Genomic DNA, 16429 nt, shown 5'->3' on the forward strand with positions numbered 1-16429 from the left:
GCCCTGGTGGCAGAGGTTGCAGTGAGCCAAGATTGCACCACTGCACTCCAGCCTGGGTGATAGAGCCAGACCTTGTCTCAGAAAAGAAAAGAATATGCAGCAGCCACGCTCAGTGGCACATGCCTGTAATCCCAGCACTCTGGGAGGCTGAGGTGGGCAGATCGTTTGAGTCCAGGAATTTGGGACCAGCCTGGGCAACATAGCGAGAGCTTGTCTCTACAAAAAAATAAACGAAATTAACTGGGCCTGGTGGTGTGTGTCTATGGTCCCAGCTACTCAGGAGGCTGAGGTGGGAGGATCAGTTGGGCCTGGGAGGTCAAGGCTGCAGTGAGCCAAAATTGCTCCACTGCAATTCAGTCTGGCCAACAGAGCAAGACCCTGTCTCAAAAAAAAAAAAAAAAAGAATTGAAAAAATACATCTAAACCTGTAGGCTGGGTGTCCTAAATCTTCATTTTTCTTTTTGCTCAGCTTGAGATGGAGAATCAGCATCTGAAAAGCCATAATCAGCGCCTGGTGGAGCAGGTGGGATCCCTTCAAGATGCGCTAGAAGGTAGGCAGGCCAGGGTGTGCAGGTGTGCAGTACGTGTGTTTGGTGGGTATGGGGCTGAGCTACGGGAGCTCTCAATGTGACTGTTTTTACCCGAATCACAGCTATTCAGATAGCTCCTTCACGGAAGCTGCTGGTGCCCCCCTACGGAGCTGCAGAGCAGGATTCTGTCCCTTCAGAGCCGGGAATCCAGCCTATGGGCCAGGACAGTGGCTCCCAGGCCCAGGGTCTGAAGGCAGCTGTGCTTGCACCTTCCCCAGGTGCCCTGCAGAGCAAGGACTCTGTTTCTGAAGCAGCAAGCCCCTTGGAGGATTCTAGTTCCAGCACGGTCCATTCTGGGGAAACAGTAGAGGCCAAGCCCCTTCAACCTCATCTGGGAAGAGAGAGCCCTCCCCACCAGCCATGCATGAAGCTTCTTACCTTCAGATGTAGTTCAGCTTCCTGGGGTGAGGGTCTGGTTACTGCTCAGAGAGGGATGCTCCCTGGGACAAAGACCTCTGCCAGGGAAGGTGGTCCTGGCAGCAGTCTGACCCTACCAAAGGTGCGGGCTCCTGGCACCCCGCGGGACAGCATCCAGTTGGCCAAAAGGCACCACAGCCAGCCCCAGGTGGGCCATGGGCACTTTGGCCGTGTGGTGAACATTGAGACTGAGGCCTTCTCAGCCCTCCACCCCTCTGGCCTTCCTGAGCTGGAGTCCCGAGCTAGGTCCCGGGAGGAACCAGAGAAGATGGAGATGGAGGAGCCACCCCCAGCAGGGAAGAATGAGGAAAGAGAGAGCCCAAAGGCCCTTGGAGCTGAGCTGGAGGAAGTGGAGCTGGGTAACAAGCCACCTACACCCCCGCTGCACCAGTTTTCATCCTGGGTAAGAGGCAACCTCCGGGCTGGGCAGAGGAGCAGAGCTAATGGCAAGAACACTGCTGGCTGAGCACAGCCATGCACTGAGCAGGAGAGGAGGCTGCTGGCATCCTCATGGTGGCCCTGGCAGGCAGGTACCATGGAGCCTGTGCAGACCACACAACCAGTGAGGGTCAGCGCCAGAATTCAGAATGATGTGAATGGCGGTTGGCTGTCATTTCCTGAGTGCTCACCGTGCACCATACATTGAGCTGGGTGCCCTGCATACCTTTTCTCATTTAATCTTTGTGAGTCTTTCAGGTGGTCTGGTATGATGGTCAAGAGCATAGGCCCCAGAAGCAAACCACTAGGGTTGAACTGTTAACTACGTGACCTTGGACATGTTACTGAACCTCTGTGCCTCAGCTTCCCTGTCTATAAAATGGGGATAATAGTACCTACTTTATAGGGTTGTTGTGAAAGTACTTACAGTAGTGGTTCACAGTAGGTGGTAGGTAAGTGTTGGCTATTTTTCTTTCTTTGTTTTTCTTTTTCTTTTCTTTTTTTTGGGGGGTGGGGGTGAGGGGGCAGAGTTTCACTCTTACTGCCCAGGCTGGAGTGCAATAGCATGATCTTGGCTCACTGTAACCTCTGCCTCCTGGGTTCAATCAATTCTCCCGCCTCAGCCTCCCAAGTAGCTGGGATTACAGGCATGCACCACCACGCCCAGCTAATTTTGTATTTTTAGTAGAGGCAGGGTTTCACCATGTTGGTCAGGCTGGCCTCAAACTCCTGACCTCAGGTGATCCACCCTCTTGGGCCTCCCAAAGTGCTGGGATTGTAAGTATGAGCCACTGAGCCTGGCTTTTTTTTTTTTTTTTTTTCGAGACAGAGTCTTGCTCTGTCACCCAGGCTGAAGTGCAGTAGCACGGTCTCGGCTCACTGCAACCTCCGCCTCCCAGGTTCAAGTGGTACTCCCACCTCAGCCTCCCAAGTAGCTGGAATTACAGGTGTGTGCCACCATGCCCGGCTAACTGTTTTTTTTTTTTTTCTGAGACAGAGTCTTGCTCTGTTGCCCAGGCTGGAGTGCAGTGGCACAATCTCAGCTCACTGGAAGCTCTGCCTCCCAGTTTCACGCCATTTTCCTGCCTCAGCCTCCCAAGTAGCTGGGACCACAGGCACCTGCCACCACGCCCGGCCAATTTTTTGTATTTTTAGTAGAGACGGGGTTTCACCATGTTAGCCAGGATGGTCTCGATCTCCTGACCTCGTGATCCGCCCGCCTCAGCCTCCCAAAGTGTAATTTTTATATTTTTAGTAGAGTCGGGGTTTCACCATGTTGGCCAGGCTAGTCTCAAAGTCCTGACCTCAAGTGATTCACCTGCCTAGGCCTCTCAATGTGCTGGGATTATAGGCAACTGCGCCAGGCCAGCTTCCTTACTTGTAACATTGGATAAAATGTCTTGATATCTGTCTGGTAGAAATACTTCAGAAGCAATGATCTGGTTGGTGGCCAAGGGTGGGGACACAGATGAAGCATGACTGGCCACACATCATTAACCTTTGCCAAGCTGGGCGATGGGCACGTGAGATCATTCTTTTTTTAACTGAGACAGGGTTTTACTCTGTCGCCCAGGCTGGAGTGCAGTGGCGCAATATTGGCTCACTGCAACCTCTGCCTCCTGGGCTCAAGCAATCCTCCTACTTCAGCCTTCTAAGTAGCTGGGACTACAGGCATGCACCACCATGCCTGGCTAATTTTTGTATTTTTAGTAGAGACAGGGTTTCACTATGTTGGCCAGGCTGACATTTTTTTTTTCTTTTCCTTTTTTTTTTTTGAGACAGAGTCTTGCTCAGTCTTGCCCAGGCTGGAGTGCAATGGTGCAATCATGGCTCACTGCAGCCTCAACTTCCCGGGCTCAAGCAATTCTCCCACCTCAGCCTCCCGAGTAGCTGGCACTACAGGCATGCACCACCATGCCCAGCTATTTTTTAATTTTTTGTGGAGATGGGCTAACACTATGCTGTTGCCCTGGCTGGTCTCGAACTCCCAGGCTCAGGTGGTCCTCCCACCTTGACCTCCCAAAGTGCTGGGATTACGGGTGTGAGCCACTGTGTCTGGCCCTGTACCTGACATTTTCCATGATAAAAAGTTAAAATAAAAATGAGACAGGCTATAAAAATGACATTTCACAGGTCACTAGTGAAAATGGCATGTGGGTATTAAGGGCTTCGCACGGAGCCTGTGGGAAGGGCTCCTTTCCTTGCAAGGAGTAAGGTGTGGTTTCTCCCTTTTACAGGTCAGGAAACCACTGTTCCCCACAGACTTAGGTACTTGCCCAAGGTCATGTAGTAGTTAGTGAGGGAGCCAGGCTTTATTTATTTATTTACTTGAGAGACGGTGTCTTGCTCTGTCACTCAGGCTGGAGTGCAGTGGCACAATCACAGTCCACTGCAGCCTTGTACTCCTGGACTCAAGGGATCTTTCCACCCCAGCCTTCTGAGCAGCTGGGACTACAGGTGCACACCACCACACCTGGCTAATTTTTTAAATTTTTTGTAGGGATGGAGTATCCCTATGTTGCCCAGGCTAGTCTCAAACTCCTGGCCTCAAGTGATCCTCCTTTGTCAGCCATAAGAGCCACCTTACCCGGTCTGAGAGCCAGGCTTTAAATGTAGTTCCAGCTGCTTTGAAGCCCAGCTCTCACATTCCAGCTGTACTTCCTCTTAAGGGACATTGCCAGAGCTAAGGTCAGTCTTTGATTCATGGGCAGACATCCCCTCCACAGATGCTGCTGGGGTGTGTAGCAGTACCATGGGGGACAGCTAAGCGTTGGCTCCTGGCAGCAGGAGGAATGAGGTCACTTGGGAGAGGGGGTGACATCAGGGTGGACTCACCCCACACCACTGCTCGGGAGACCTGTATTTCCAGCAGTAACTCCCAGGGCCTCCTTTTGAAATGCTGGTTCAAATCCGGGCTCAGTAGCTTATGCCTGTAATCCCAGCACTTTGGGAGGCTGAGGCAGGCAGATCACTTGAGGTCAGGAGTTCGAGACCAGCCTGGCCAACATGGCGAAACCCCATCTCTACTAAAAATACAAAAATTATTTGGGCATGGTGGTGCACGCCTATAGTCTGGCTGCTCGGGAGCCTGAGGCAGTAGAATCGCTTGAACCCAGGAGGCGAAGGTTGCAGTGAGCTGAGATTGCGCCACTGCACTCCAGCCTGGGCGACAGAGGAGACGATCTCCAAAACAAAACAAAGAAATGCTGGTTCGGGAGGCACACAGCCCTAGACTTTTGGGCTATATCCTTGGCAGTGACTGTTGATCAGCTTCTGGTTGTTTCAAGGACACCTGTAAGACTGGAGACCCAGTTGAGCCAAGAGTGGGGCACATCAGGAAGACTAGGGGATGGAAAAGCACTGGTCCCCCTGGGCTGCTGGCTCTCTTCTTGCTCTGGAGTCCAAATGCAGAGGTTGGGAGCAGGAAGTAGTCAGGCAAGGAATGTGCAGCTGCTACCAGAGAGAAGCGTTGCTCACTTTGCCATTTTGCCAAAATACAGCCATTCACTGTGATAGCTTAAGAGTAGGTCTTGAGCCGGGTACAGTGGCTCACACCTGTAATCCCAGCACTTTGGGAGGCAGAAGCAGGTAGACTGCTTGAACTCAGAAGTTCAAGACCAACCTGGGCAACACGGCGAAACCCCATGTCTACCAAAAAAGATACAAAAATTAGCTGAGCATGGTGGCACATGCCGGTAGTCCCAGCTACTCAGGAGGCTTAAGTGGAAGTTAAGTTTGAGCCCAGGGAGGTGAAGGTTGCCATGAGTCAAGATCTTGCCACTGTACTCCAGCCTGAGTGACAGAGCCAGACCCTGTCTTGAAAAAAAAAAAAAAAAGAGTGGGTCTTCTCTATCTGAACAGGTTAAGTGTATGTGTGTGAGAGAGAGGGTGGAGGAGGAGAGGAGGAATGGGGAGACGAGGAGTTATTGTCTCCTCTTATTCTGTATAGAAAATATATCAGATGACGTTCTCCCCAGGAACCTCAGCTGAACTCTGGTGATGAAGGTATTAAGGGGATTAAGGTATTAAGGGGCAGCGTCAGGTCTTCCCACAGAACCTCCCTGCCCCCAGCTAGGCCCCAAGGACCCAAGAATCAGCCAAAAGAATGTAAGGAGATCTCATCCTGTTTGCAATCCCCTTTGTAACTTGCTCCTGGGGAAAACAAGACACAATGCTAGCTCCTTCCCAGGCCCCTGAGGCATGATCACTCGTGTTCCGTGTTCCGGGGAGAGCTTAAGAAATCACAGTGGCCAGAAGCCCAGCCTCTCTCTCTCCCAGGCAGGACCAATGGGGCAGTAACCATCTGGGGAGGGCGGTGGGGGAATGAAATGTCAGAGAACATTTCTCAATCTGACGGTGTGAGAAATACTTATGTATCTTAGAGTTTGGAAAGCCCTTTTTTCAGTTAATCCTTAAAACAACCTTGTGAGTTAGGCATTAGATAACATTTTGTCAAACAGTCATAGGTTTCGTTTTACCTAAATCCTTCAAACTTCAGTTTCATTTCCTCTGCAAAGTTAGAGGCTTGTCCTTGGTTAAATTCCATGACCACTCTGGGCAGAAATAATCCTTTTTATGCCGAATTTTACTTGGGCTCGATGTATCTGCCCTACACGAGCACAGAAACTCCCTGCCCTGCTGCAGGGCCCTCCTTGGCATCCTTCCTCACCGCCCCTCTGTCTCCTGCCGCCCCTCCAGTGATCTCAGCGTCTCATGGCAGCACTCATCAGCTCTGCCCTCTCTCCTCCCAGTTGTCCCAGGGCTGCTGCTCCCCTCTGGGATGACACCCTGATAGGCACCCACCTCCCTTCCAATGCCATCTCCTAGCCCATCTGACCCCACCAGGTGACAGCACATCTAGCTACCTCCCTGAGCCAACAGGGCATTCCTCCAAAGGCTGGTCAACCTTCCCTCGTCAGCCTTGGTGACTCACGTCACCTTTGTTTTCCTTTAGGCTCAGTGGAGCAAACAGATCCAGAAGGTGCAGGGAACCCTGTGGGTTGTTTATGAGCAGTCAGGGCCATTAGGAAAAGCTCCTTTGGCCTGTGGCCTACTTCAGACCCAGGGGCCCCCTCAGGACGGGCATTCTCCCAGTGTCTTCTGCATGGGGGTGCTGGAGTCCTGTTGGGCTAAATAGGCTTTGTAGATTGGCCCTGAAGCCTAGCCATGATATGACATTATTCCTGCAGGGGAAAAAACGTGCCCTAAGTTCCCACATATGTTCATCACAGCACTACTCACAATAGCAAAGACATGGAATCAACCCAATGCCCATCAATGGTAGACTGGATAAAGAAAATGTGGTACATATACACCATGGAATACCGTGCAGCCATAAACAGGAATGAGGTCATGTCCTTTGCAGGGACATAAATGGAGCTGGAAGCCATTATCTTCAGCAAACTAACGTAGGAACAAGAAAACCAAACATTGCATGTTCTCACTTACAAGTGGGAGCTGGACAATGAGAACACATGGACACAGGGAGGGGAACATACTTAGTGGGGCCTGTCAGTGGATGGTGGCGGTGGGGGAGTATTAGGGAAAAGAGCTAAAGCATGCTGGGATTAATACCTAGGTGATGGGTTGTTAGGTGCAGTAGACCACCATGACACACGTTTACCTACATAAAAACCTGCACATCTTGCATACGTACCCTGGAACTTAAAAAACAAACAAATTATTTTTTAAAAAAAGAAACAATAGAGAATTTTTTAAAAATGTGCCCTAAGTTCCAAACAACTGGCTTACAAAAGAGCCCTTGTCGTGTGGCCGCAGTGGCTTCCTCATTACCAATATCCCCAACTTCTGGGGGTTAGATCTTGAGACCCAAGGGTCTCTAAAACGGGTAGGATTCAGAGCAACAGTTTACTGACCCATCTTCTCTTGAACCTCCTTTGCCCCAAAGGTGAAGGGTGGAGGCAAGAGAGGGAACTGTTGGGCACTGATTATATTCCAGGTGTTAAATGCTTATGTTAAGTATTTCATTGATTCTCACAGCAGCCTGAAAGGTAAGTATTATTACCTCCATTTAGAGCAGAGGAAAATGAGTCTCAGAAATGAAGTAACTTGCCCAAGATTTGTTAGCCAGTCACTGCCCCCCACAGGTCTGCCCACCCCCAAAGCCATGCTTTTTCCTGCACATGCCTGGAGGGGGTGGGATGGGCATCATGCCGGGCCCTGAGCTTCCTGAGACCTCTTGTTTCAGGAGAGCCGGATCTATGCTGTGGCCACATCGGGCATGCGGCTCTCAGATATGTCTCCCAGAAGTAATACTGCATGCTGCGGTGAGTTCCAAGTGAGGCTTGGAGGCACCAAACACCCAAGGTGGGCAGGGTGGGCAAGCGGGGAGGAGAAGACTCCAAGCAACACCCAGGGCCAGGGTTGGCTGGCCTACCCTGTTCCCCTCCCCAGCAGGTGAAGTTCAGGTGAAATCACAGCAAGTCCCACCTAGGAGGGAAAGGGAAGTCGTACAGGTTCAGCCCATCACAGGAAAGTAGCCAGTCACAGAGCTGGAAGGGATCTGAGAGGGGGCCTCCAGCCCAGCCTCCCACCTGCACAGGCTTCGCTTCTGCAGTGCCAGGGCCGTGGGTGGGAGGAGCCACAAGTGTCCTGATTTACATGAACCCCACTCACTGGCTCCTCTCCAGCCAGCCACCAAATCTCCACAACGAGGGCTGTGGGGTGGTCCCATAGCCGTATGATTTGTAACTCACATCTGCAACAGTGGAACACTGTGCAAGCCTCATGGAGGAAAAAATGGTTAAAGGTAAGGCTTTTGGATTCTTTTGTGAGGGATCCTTTACCACATGGAGATCATGGTCCCCAAAGGGAGTCAAGGGGAGAAGATGAACAGGGCCCTGGCCCCCCTCTTGAGATCTGTCACTGGCCTGCTCCTGGAGGGAATGCCATCTGCCCAGTTCTCTGCTTCCCCCACACCCCTTCCTGGGTTATGCCCTTGAGTAATCTCATTCCTCTCTTCCCTGCTCAGCTTCAAGCCCTCCTGCCCTTGTTTCCCCTGGGTCTTTCTCTGGCCTGGTCTACAAGAATGTCACTGTGCCTGTCTACACAGCACTGAAGGGGGTAAGAAACTGCTGCACAAAGAGGGGGTGTCTCATCAGGAAAGGCCCCTGGCCTCATCATCCAATGACTGGGGCGGGGCTCTAGGGCCAGGCTTCTGCACATGGTGACCCTGCCCAGGGAGCTGAGCCCAGCACGTGTCATTTTGTTTTATTGTTTATTAGGTTATTATAAAAATTCCACATTTACAAAAATGTGAATCAGTATGAACGTGGACAAGGTAAGAAGGTTAAGCCTATGCCCGCTTTACAGCTCTCCCCACCTTTTCTCATGTCTGCCTCACTCCTCAGGTCCCAGAGGGCAGTGGGGCTCCTTCTAGAATTACTGAGGTATATTCCAACTTATATTCCCGTAACGTCACTACATTTTAAAAACAAAAATCAGATAGAATTGCAATATTTTCATACACATTTTTGTCTCTGTTACTGGTTTTTGAATAATAGTAATACTTGATAAAATTTTTTATAGAAGAATAAAAAACCAAAAGTGAAATTTCCTCTCACGTCGCTTTTCCCTAATTCCTAAGCCCAGAGGAAGCTATCATGAATGGTTTAGTGTTTATTCAGTAAGGCCTTCCGATGCATTTATAAATATGCAGCACACTCTCACTGTCTCCTGTGTGCACACAAAAGGTGCTCATATACATGTCATTCTATGCCTTGCTTGTTCCCCTAACCACGTGAATAACCACGTGTCAGGTCATCCTTCCCTACCTCCTCCTTTTTATTTTTCCGAGACAGAGTCTGGCTCTGTTGCCAGGCTGGAGTGCAGTGGTGCAACCTTGGCTCACTGCAACTTCCACCTCCTGGGTTCAAGCGATTCTCCTGCCTCAGCCTCCTGAATAGCTGGAACTACAGGCGCGCACCACCATGCCCAGCTAATTTTTGTATTTTTAGTAGAGACGGGGTTTCACCATGTTGGCCAGGATGGTCTTGATCTCTTGACCTTGTGATCCGCCTGCCTCAGCCTCCCAAAGTGCTAGGATTACAGGCATGAGCCACCATGCCTGGCCCCTACCTCCTCCTTCTATAGGTGTCCAGTACCCTTGGTATCGAAGCACCATAACTATTAATACCTAAAGCTTTCCTCCAATAATAATTTAGTCTGTGTCCCTGTTTTTCTCTAAAATGAATGTTGCCATGAACATCACTGTGCACATATATCTTTGGGAACTTATATCTACATGTGTCTGTAGGACAGAGTTCTAGAGGTGGGATTTCTGGGCAAATTATATACATGTTTTAATTTTTGACAGGTACTGCCAAATTACCTTCTAAAAATGCCTTACACACTAGAGTTTTTTCCCCCATCTTCTCCCCATACTCTCACCAACACTGAGATAGTCAGTCACTTTAAATGTTTGCCAATGGAGATGCAATCATTGATTGTTGCGACGTCCCCACACATTTTTAAAGCTCGCATGGCACACTTAGTCTGTGGTGTAGCTTTCTGGCCCCCTAGTGGCAAGGAGCGAGGGTCACAGTGGGCAGGCATTCAGTCGTGATGGGCAGCTGCTTTGGGGACCACAGAAGATGGTGTGTGGGAAGGGAGGCCTGAGAAGCATGGAGGTCATGACACAGGAGTGAGGCCAGGAGGGACCTTACACTGGACAGTTGTCTGTTCAGAGTCCCGGCTGGGGGTTGGCCACACCATGGGCACTTGGACCAGGAGTGCAAGCTGCAGGGTTGGGAGAGGACTGTTTTGCAGCCTGAGCTGCAGTGAGGGAGGGGCCTGTCTTGCAGAGAGCTACACAGATCAGCAACATGCCCTTTATGGACGAGTCCTCTGGGTCTGACGATGACTGCAGCTCTCAGGCGAGTTTCCGAATCTCGGTCCCCTCCTCTGAGTCCAGGAAGACCAGCGGACTAGGCAGCCCCCGGGCCATCAAGAGAGGTACAGAGAAGGGGAGCAGGGGCAGGGTGCAGCAGCAAGGAGCCCCTCACCTCTTCCCATGGGCACTTGAACATGGGCGTCCCCACTTGATCTGAGCTCGTGACCCCCCAGCAGCTCCACCCCCAGCCCCAGAGACCGGGTCCCGGGTGGGTGGTCAAGTCTCAGCAGCTCCTGGGCTGCGTGAGTCGGGGAGGTGTGGGACCCGGGCCTTGACTCCTCCTCCCTCGGCAAGGCGTCTCCATGTCCTCACTGAGCTCCGAGGGTGACTACGCCATCCCCCCGGACGCCTGCTCACTGGACAGTGACTACTCAGAGCCTGAGCACAAACTGCAGCGCACCTCATCCTACTCCACCGACGGGCTGGGCCTGGGCGGGGTGAGCCGGGAAACGGGCGGGGGCAGGGTGGAAGCAGAATGCAGCAGAGGCTGCTGGGGCCCTCAGCACAAGACATAGGCAGTAGCTGCCTGAAGTGAGGGGTCCCTAGAGCTGGGGGATGGGGGCAGGGGGCGTGGGCTGGGGGGGTGTACAGTTATGGAGTCAGACACACAGACCCCACAAGGAAGGAAGGAGGGAGCCCAGAGAGCTCCTGGAATACCAGCAATGGCCAGTTACTGAGAGCCTACTGTGGCCCACCAGGCCCCATGAAGAGTTTTCCATATATGACTTTGTTTTATCACCTGGAATACTAACGCAAGCTAACATTTATTGAACTCTTGGCACCAGGCACTGTGCTCAGTTTCCAGGCATTGTCTCATTTGTCCTCACAATCCTCTTGGGGTCATTAGCCCATCTTATGGATGAGAAGCCTGAGGCTCCAAGCTGTGCCACTACATGCCAGGGCTAGCATCCACTCCCGATGTAATTCCGCATCCCTCGCCCCACACCTCTCTGCTGCCCCATCATCTCCCTGGCTCCATGACCCTCCAGTCCTGCCTGGCTGATGTGTCCAGGTTGCCCAGACCTGCCTTGCCCTCTCCCTGCTCTGTGCTGCCTGGAATGGTCTTCTTCCTCCTCTCAGTCTTTGAGGGAGAGGCTGAACTATCCTAACAAGGCCAGCTCAGGGCCGGCTCTCTCCTGACGCTCTCCCTGGCCAGGCTCTCCCTCTAGCAGCCCCTGCTCTGCTACCTTCTCATAGTGAGGTCTTCCCCAGCTAGCATGGGAGCCCTTCCTTGGCAGGACCACCCATGTTTTATTTAGTCCTCTCTGAACCATAGCAGGGCATGGTACTCTGAAAATACACTGAGTAGGTACTCAATAATTTTGTATTTAATTGATGACCGAGTAGTGAGGCAGCTGGACCACTTGGACCTGTGTGATGTCTAGGAGCCCTGAGTGATTTCCCCTTTCTTCATCTACACCCTTCCACCCCTCAGGAGTCACTGGAGAAGTCGGGCTACCTGCTGAAAATGGGGAGCCAGGTGAAGACGTGGAAGAGGCGCTGGTTTGTCCTGAGACAGGGACAGATTATGTACTACAAGTCCCCGGTGAGAGTCTCCCCGCCCAGCACTGCAGTCAAAAGGTCTCCACATCACACCCTGGACTATGTCAGATGGGACGGAGGAGGGGGAATGTGGCCCAAGGCCAGAGGGCAAAGGTCTGGCAGGTGGGGAGAGGCAACCTCACTGGGCCCCTGAGGCTTTGAGCCACACTTGGGGACCTAAGCCTGGCCGTGAGTTTCAGAATGAAATAGGGAGGTTCTCAGAAGGACCCATGTTCCTGATTAAGGTTCCATTTAGCTATAACCAGAATCTAGAATAAGTCACCCATCATAACACAGCCAGAATGCTGGGAATCATGTTTCCCTTTGCTTATGACGTGGAGGAAGATCTGAGGGTAAATGAGGTGCTCCGGAAAGGCTCCACATTCAGTGGCTCTCCTCTCCAATACTTTCTTTACAGAGTGATGTCATCCGGAAACCTCAAGGCCAAGTGGATCTGAACTCCCGCTGCCAAATTGTTCGAGGGGAGGGTTCACAGACGTTTCAGGTGAGCACGCTCCTGGCTGCTAGTATTTTAAACAGAAGAGGTGCTGGGTTTGGATATGGCCGTGAGTGAGACAAAGATGGGGCCAAATGAGCATGAATGAAAGACTTCAGATCAACATTTGGACGTGATCCTAACTTGTGAGTACAAGAAAGGAAGATGAGACAGAATATGAGAGATGGAGTGAAGGAAGGAGAGACAGGGAGGAAAAGATGAGGAGGAAAAGAAAGGAGGGAGCACTAGGGCAGGCAGAAGGCCAGCCCCTTGGGTTCAGGGACAGGTGCCACCTCGGAGCCAGGTCCTGGTTACTCCATTCTCCCAGCGTGCTGCCCCACCCCCATATCTCGCCCTCCACAGCTCATCTCTGAGAAGAAAACCTACTACCTGACGGCCGATTCACCCAGCCTGCTGGAGGAGTGGATCCGAGTACTCCAGAGCCTGCTGAAGGTGCAGGCCACCGGGCCTCCAGCTCTGCTTCGGGGTGGCACCAAGCCCACCGTGAAGGGCTGGCTGACCAAGGTAGAGGGTGGGGCTGATAGGGCAGGAACATGTGCCTCCTGCGAATCAGGGGAGCCAGGATTGGGGTGCCGAGGGTGGTGGGTTCCCCCTTATACGGGGCTCCTTTCTCTGGGAGCCTCCTCACAGTGACTCGCTGGCCAGCCCTCAAACGTGGTCTGGCCACACAAGGTGATGGCGAGTGATTCCCCGGAAACAAATCAGGGTTGTTGGAACAACTATTCTCAAGAAAGAGAAGGGAAGGGACTATCTTGTATCCATTTTGAGGTCATTAGGGGCTGTCACCCACCCCCACCTTATACCTGCCTCAGTGTTAATAGTGGGAGGAAGAGGCCTGGGCGAGGTAGGTATGGCTCCTCAAAGACTTAAAGTATCCCAGGCCTGCCCTAAAGACATTTTTGTTAGGGCTCTTCTGGTTGAACAGAGCAGAGAAGCAGTTGTTAAACCCAAGAAAATGGAAGTTAACAAGGAAGTACATTAGCTAGACCAGAACACCAGCAGGAACCAAAGCGACTTGCACTCAGCAAGCTCAGGGCTGGCAGGCTCGCTGTGTGGCTCTGCTTCTCGTTCAATCTGTTTATGTCATTCTCCTTCGCCCGTGTGCAGCTTCTGTTCCTTCATGATGCATGGTTGCCCAAGGGCTTCAGCCTGCTGTTTTCCCTCCCTCCCTCCCGGCACCCTGACAACTGTGGCTTCTGCCACCTAGCAAGTTCTTCCTATTTTCATATGCCTGGAGGGGACATCTGATTGGCCTGGCTAATCGTTTCATGGCAGGTCATAGGTCACTGAATAGCCCATGATGGCTGGGGTGCCACAGGGTGTCATGGCACCCTCACTGTGAAAGGGGTGGTTCCATTAGTAGGGAGCCCAAATGGCATCTCCATCTCTACCATAGGTCAAATCTGTCTCCCTGTGGCTTCTATTTGCCAGTCCTGGATTTACTTCTAGAGTTACCTAGTTCTCATAATGCCAGTTCATTTCTGTCTTACAGGTAAAGCATGGCCACTCCAAGGTGGTCTGGTGCGCTCTTGTTGGGAAAATCTTCTACTACTATCGGAGCCATGAGGACAAGGTACTTCTCAGCCTCCTCACAATACCCACTCTCCTGCTTCCCCCGAAGCACATGACTGCCACTCTATGTCCTGATGAAAGTCCCTACCCCACGTAACCCCACAATAAATACAAAATCAGTTGGCTGGATCCCTCCAGAGTGTGAGATTCTGCCTGTCTGGGTCTCTGGTGCTTCTCCAAGCAAGCCTCATTCTGCTGCCAGCCTGGCTGGGATGCTATAGTCTCCACCTCCCCATCCTGTCATCGGTCCATATCCACGATTCCCAGCTTCACGGAGCCTATGTATTCAGAGAGAGGAGACTCCCTCATCCCCCACTGGCTCTCCCATTCATGGAAGACTGCTGTCCACAGCGACCCCTGGGCTGCCTGCCTGTGCGGGATGCGCACATAGAGGAAGTAGATCGATCCTGTGACTCAGACGAGGACTATGAGGCTGGAGGAACCAGACGGTTGCTTTCCTCCCACTGCACCCTGGTGATCCACCCCACAGAGCACAGCCCCACCTACCTCCTCATTGGCACCAAGCATGAAAAGGTAAGGAAGAGGGCTGGGCCTCCAGGGCCAAGCTTGGACCTGTGATTCTGATCTTCCCTTCTCTCTTTCTCCTGAGCTTCCCAAAATTCAAATTTATTTCCTTTTGGACACTTTGGCAACTAATATTCTCTGAATGGGAATATTCCTTTATACTGAATTTATTCCCAGTGACCAACATTGCTTCACTGAGGTCATGTAATAGAATCGCAAATTTGGAAAGTTGGGTTCATGTTCACCTGATCCTCAGTCTTTCCAGGTAGCCCTGACTCATGCCAACCAAACTAGCTGAACCCCACATGGGCTTGGTCCCTTCAAGGAGTCCTCCTTGGAGCTCTTGCCTCCACTCTTCCCACCCCGTCCCCATCCGATGGCTTTCCGCCCTCTTCCAGGATACGTGGCTCTACCACCTCACAGTGGCTGCAGGTGGCAGCAGTGCCAAGGTGGGCACTGCCTATGAGCAGCTCATTGGAAAACTGATGGATGGTGAAGGAGATCCAGGTAAGGCAAGGGTGGCCACCACTGCTTGGGTTGGAGGGTAGTGGCTTGGTGACTATTGGTCAAGATCCCAAAGAAAGCAGTGTTGTACCCTGAAGCTGTTTTTAAAACATCTAAGCCACAGAGGGGAAGTTCCCATCCAAGCTCCAGGGCCCCTCTGTCTCCGGCTGAGATACTAAGGTGACCACTCTGCATCTGGGGGAGTTTATCTGGGAAGCAGGCTTTCCAGGGACCTGGGTAAATGTTTTACTTGGATCAAGCTGCCCCGTTGCTGGCTGGGCAGAGGGCTGAGGAAAGAAGGTAGCTGGTTAATCTATAGTTAGAGTTTGTAAATCAACAAGTGAAGCCTAAATTGGGATCGGACTAACCTGTTTGGAGTCTTTCTTTTGCTACTGATTATCAGGGCCCTGAGGAACTAATTAATGGCATATACCACACACACCCCTTTACTACTGCTCTGAGGCTTGTTTGTTTCTGACCAATTCATATGCCCCTCCATCCAGACTTGACACAGTAAGAAAGAGGCCTCCCCTGCACACATCCACCTGCACTCAGACACCCACAACCTTGCACACTCACCCCTACTGCCATTCCACGAGAAAGGCCATGCTTATATGAGGGTGCTCATTGCAGTGCCCACCTGTACACCCCACACTCTATGGATGATAAACCCAGCACAACCCAAGTGTTGACGGAAGATAAACCACTATCTTCCCCATAAATTAAAGATGGCGGTGAGTGGGAGATGAGTCCCCTCTCAGTAGTAACTGCCCTTGCTCTCTGGTTCCGTGCTTTGGGCAGATTCGCCGCTCTGGAGGCACCCCATGCTGTGCTACAGCAAAGACGGCCTATACGCCTCCCTCACCACCCTGCCCTCTGAGGCCTTGCAGACGGAGGCCCTCAAGCTCTTCAAGGTAAATTGGGGTGGCGGCCAGGCCCACCGCTGGGATACTTGCAATACTTGGGTGGAGAAGGCCTGTGCAGTTGGGGACAACCCACAGAGGGATCTGGAGAGGAAGGGAAGGAAACTTCCCAGGGTCCCTATCACTTCCTGGATGGCAGGAATGTAATCCTGTCACTGGGAGGGAAGCAGCTCTGGAACGTCATGCACAAGTCCTTGGGAAATGCCAATGAAAACTCTCCCTGGAGGAGCTCCCCTCCTCCTGTAGTTAAGCAGAAAAGGCGAGGTTTATGTTGCTTCTGGACTGAGAGATTCGGACCTATTTTAGCATGTCCTTTGTGAATGTTTGAGTTTTCTGTTTTTGTTTTTGTTTTTTTTAAGGAATTTGTCTTGTTTATGTAATGTAATGAGAACATTTTAAAAAGGAAACTTCTATCCCAAAGTAGCCCATAGCCCCTTTTAGTAAGCAGAGATGCCCTCCAACAGTAGCAGTGCTCCCTCTTAGAAAGGGC

The 16429-nt window shown here is 51.7% G+C and overlaps 2 protein-coding genes across 11 annotated transcripts in view, besides 1 other annotated feature; both read left to right on the forward strand.

Moving 5' to 3' along the window:
* The window catches only part of GPHN (gephyrin), a 1227209-nt gene that overhangs the window by 1053338 nt on the left and 157442 nt on the right, over positions 1-16429 (forward strand). The window lies entirely within an intron of this gene.
* Positions 1-16429, forward strand: part of PLEKHH1 (pleckstrin homology, MyTH4 and FERM domain containing H1) — a 56323-nt gene that overhangs the window by 28195 nt on the left and 11699 nt on the right. For 4 of the 10 annotated variants that reach the window (XM_011537009.2, XM_017021500.2, XM_017021499.2 and 1 more), the window contains 13 exons: positions 470-551; positions 653-1410; positions 7654-7732; positions 8437-8528; positions 10268-10418; positions 10651-10793; positions 11792-11902; positions 12317-12403; positions 12758-12919; positions 13908-13988; positions 14255-14521; positions 14911-15019; positions 15818-15930. In XM_011537009.2, the coding sequence (XP_011535311.1) occupies positions 470-551; positions 653-1410; positions 7654-7732; positions 8437-8528; positions 10268-10418; positions 10651-10793; positions 11792-11902; positions 12317-12403; positions 12758-12919; positions 13908-13988; positions 14255-14521; positions 14911-15019; positions 15818-15930 (2235 nt within the window). Of the gene's footprint in view, positions 1-469; positions 552-652; positions 1411-2724; positions 8529-8689; positions 8746-10267; positions 10419-10650; positions 10794-11791; positions 11903-12316; positions 12404-12757; positions 12920-13907; positions 13989-14254; positions 14522-14910; positions 15020-15817; positions 15931-16429 lie in introns of those variants that run through there. The other 6 variants (NM_020715.3, XM_047431620.1, XM_017021501.2 and 3 more) reach the window with 4 other exon arrangements.
* Positions 9983-10162: an enhancer, noted in NCBI's record as "active region_8582". NCBI's record gives its function as "activates an Ori minimal core promoter by ATAC-STARR-seq in GM12878 lymphoblastoid cells {active_cell/tissue: GM12878}" and the evidence as "EXISTENCE:reporter gene assay evidence [ECO:0000049][PMID:35858748]".

The sequence above is a fragment of the Homo sapiens genome, chromosome 14, assembly GCF_000001405.40.
Source record: "Homo sapiens chromosome 14, GRCh38.p14 Primary Assembly".
Taxonomy (NCBI): domain Eukaryota; kingdom Metazoa; phylum Chordata; class Mammalia; order Primates; family Hominidae; genus Homo; species Homo sapiens.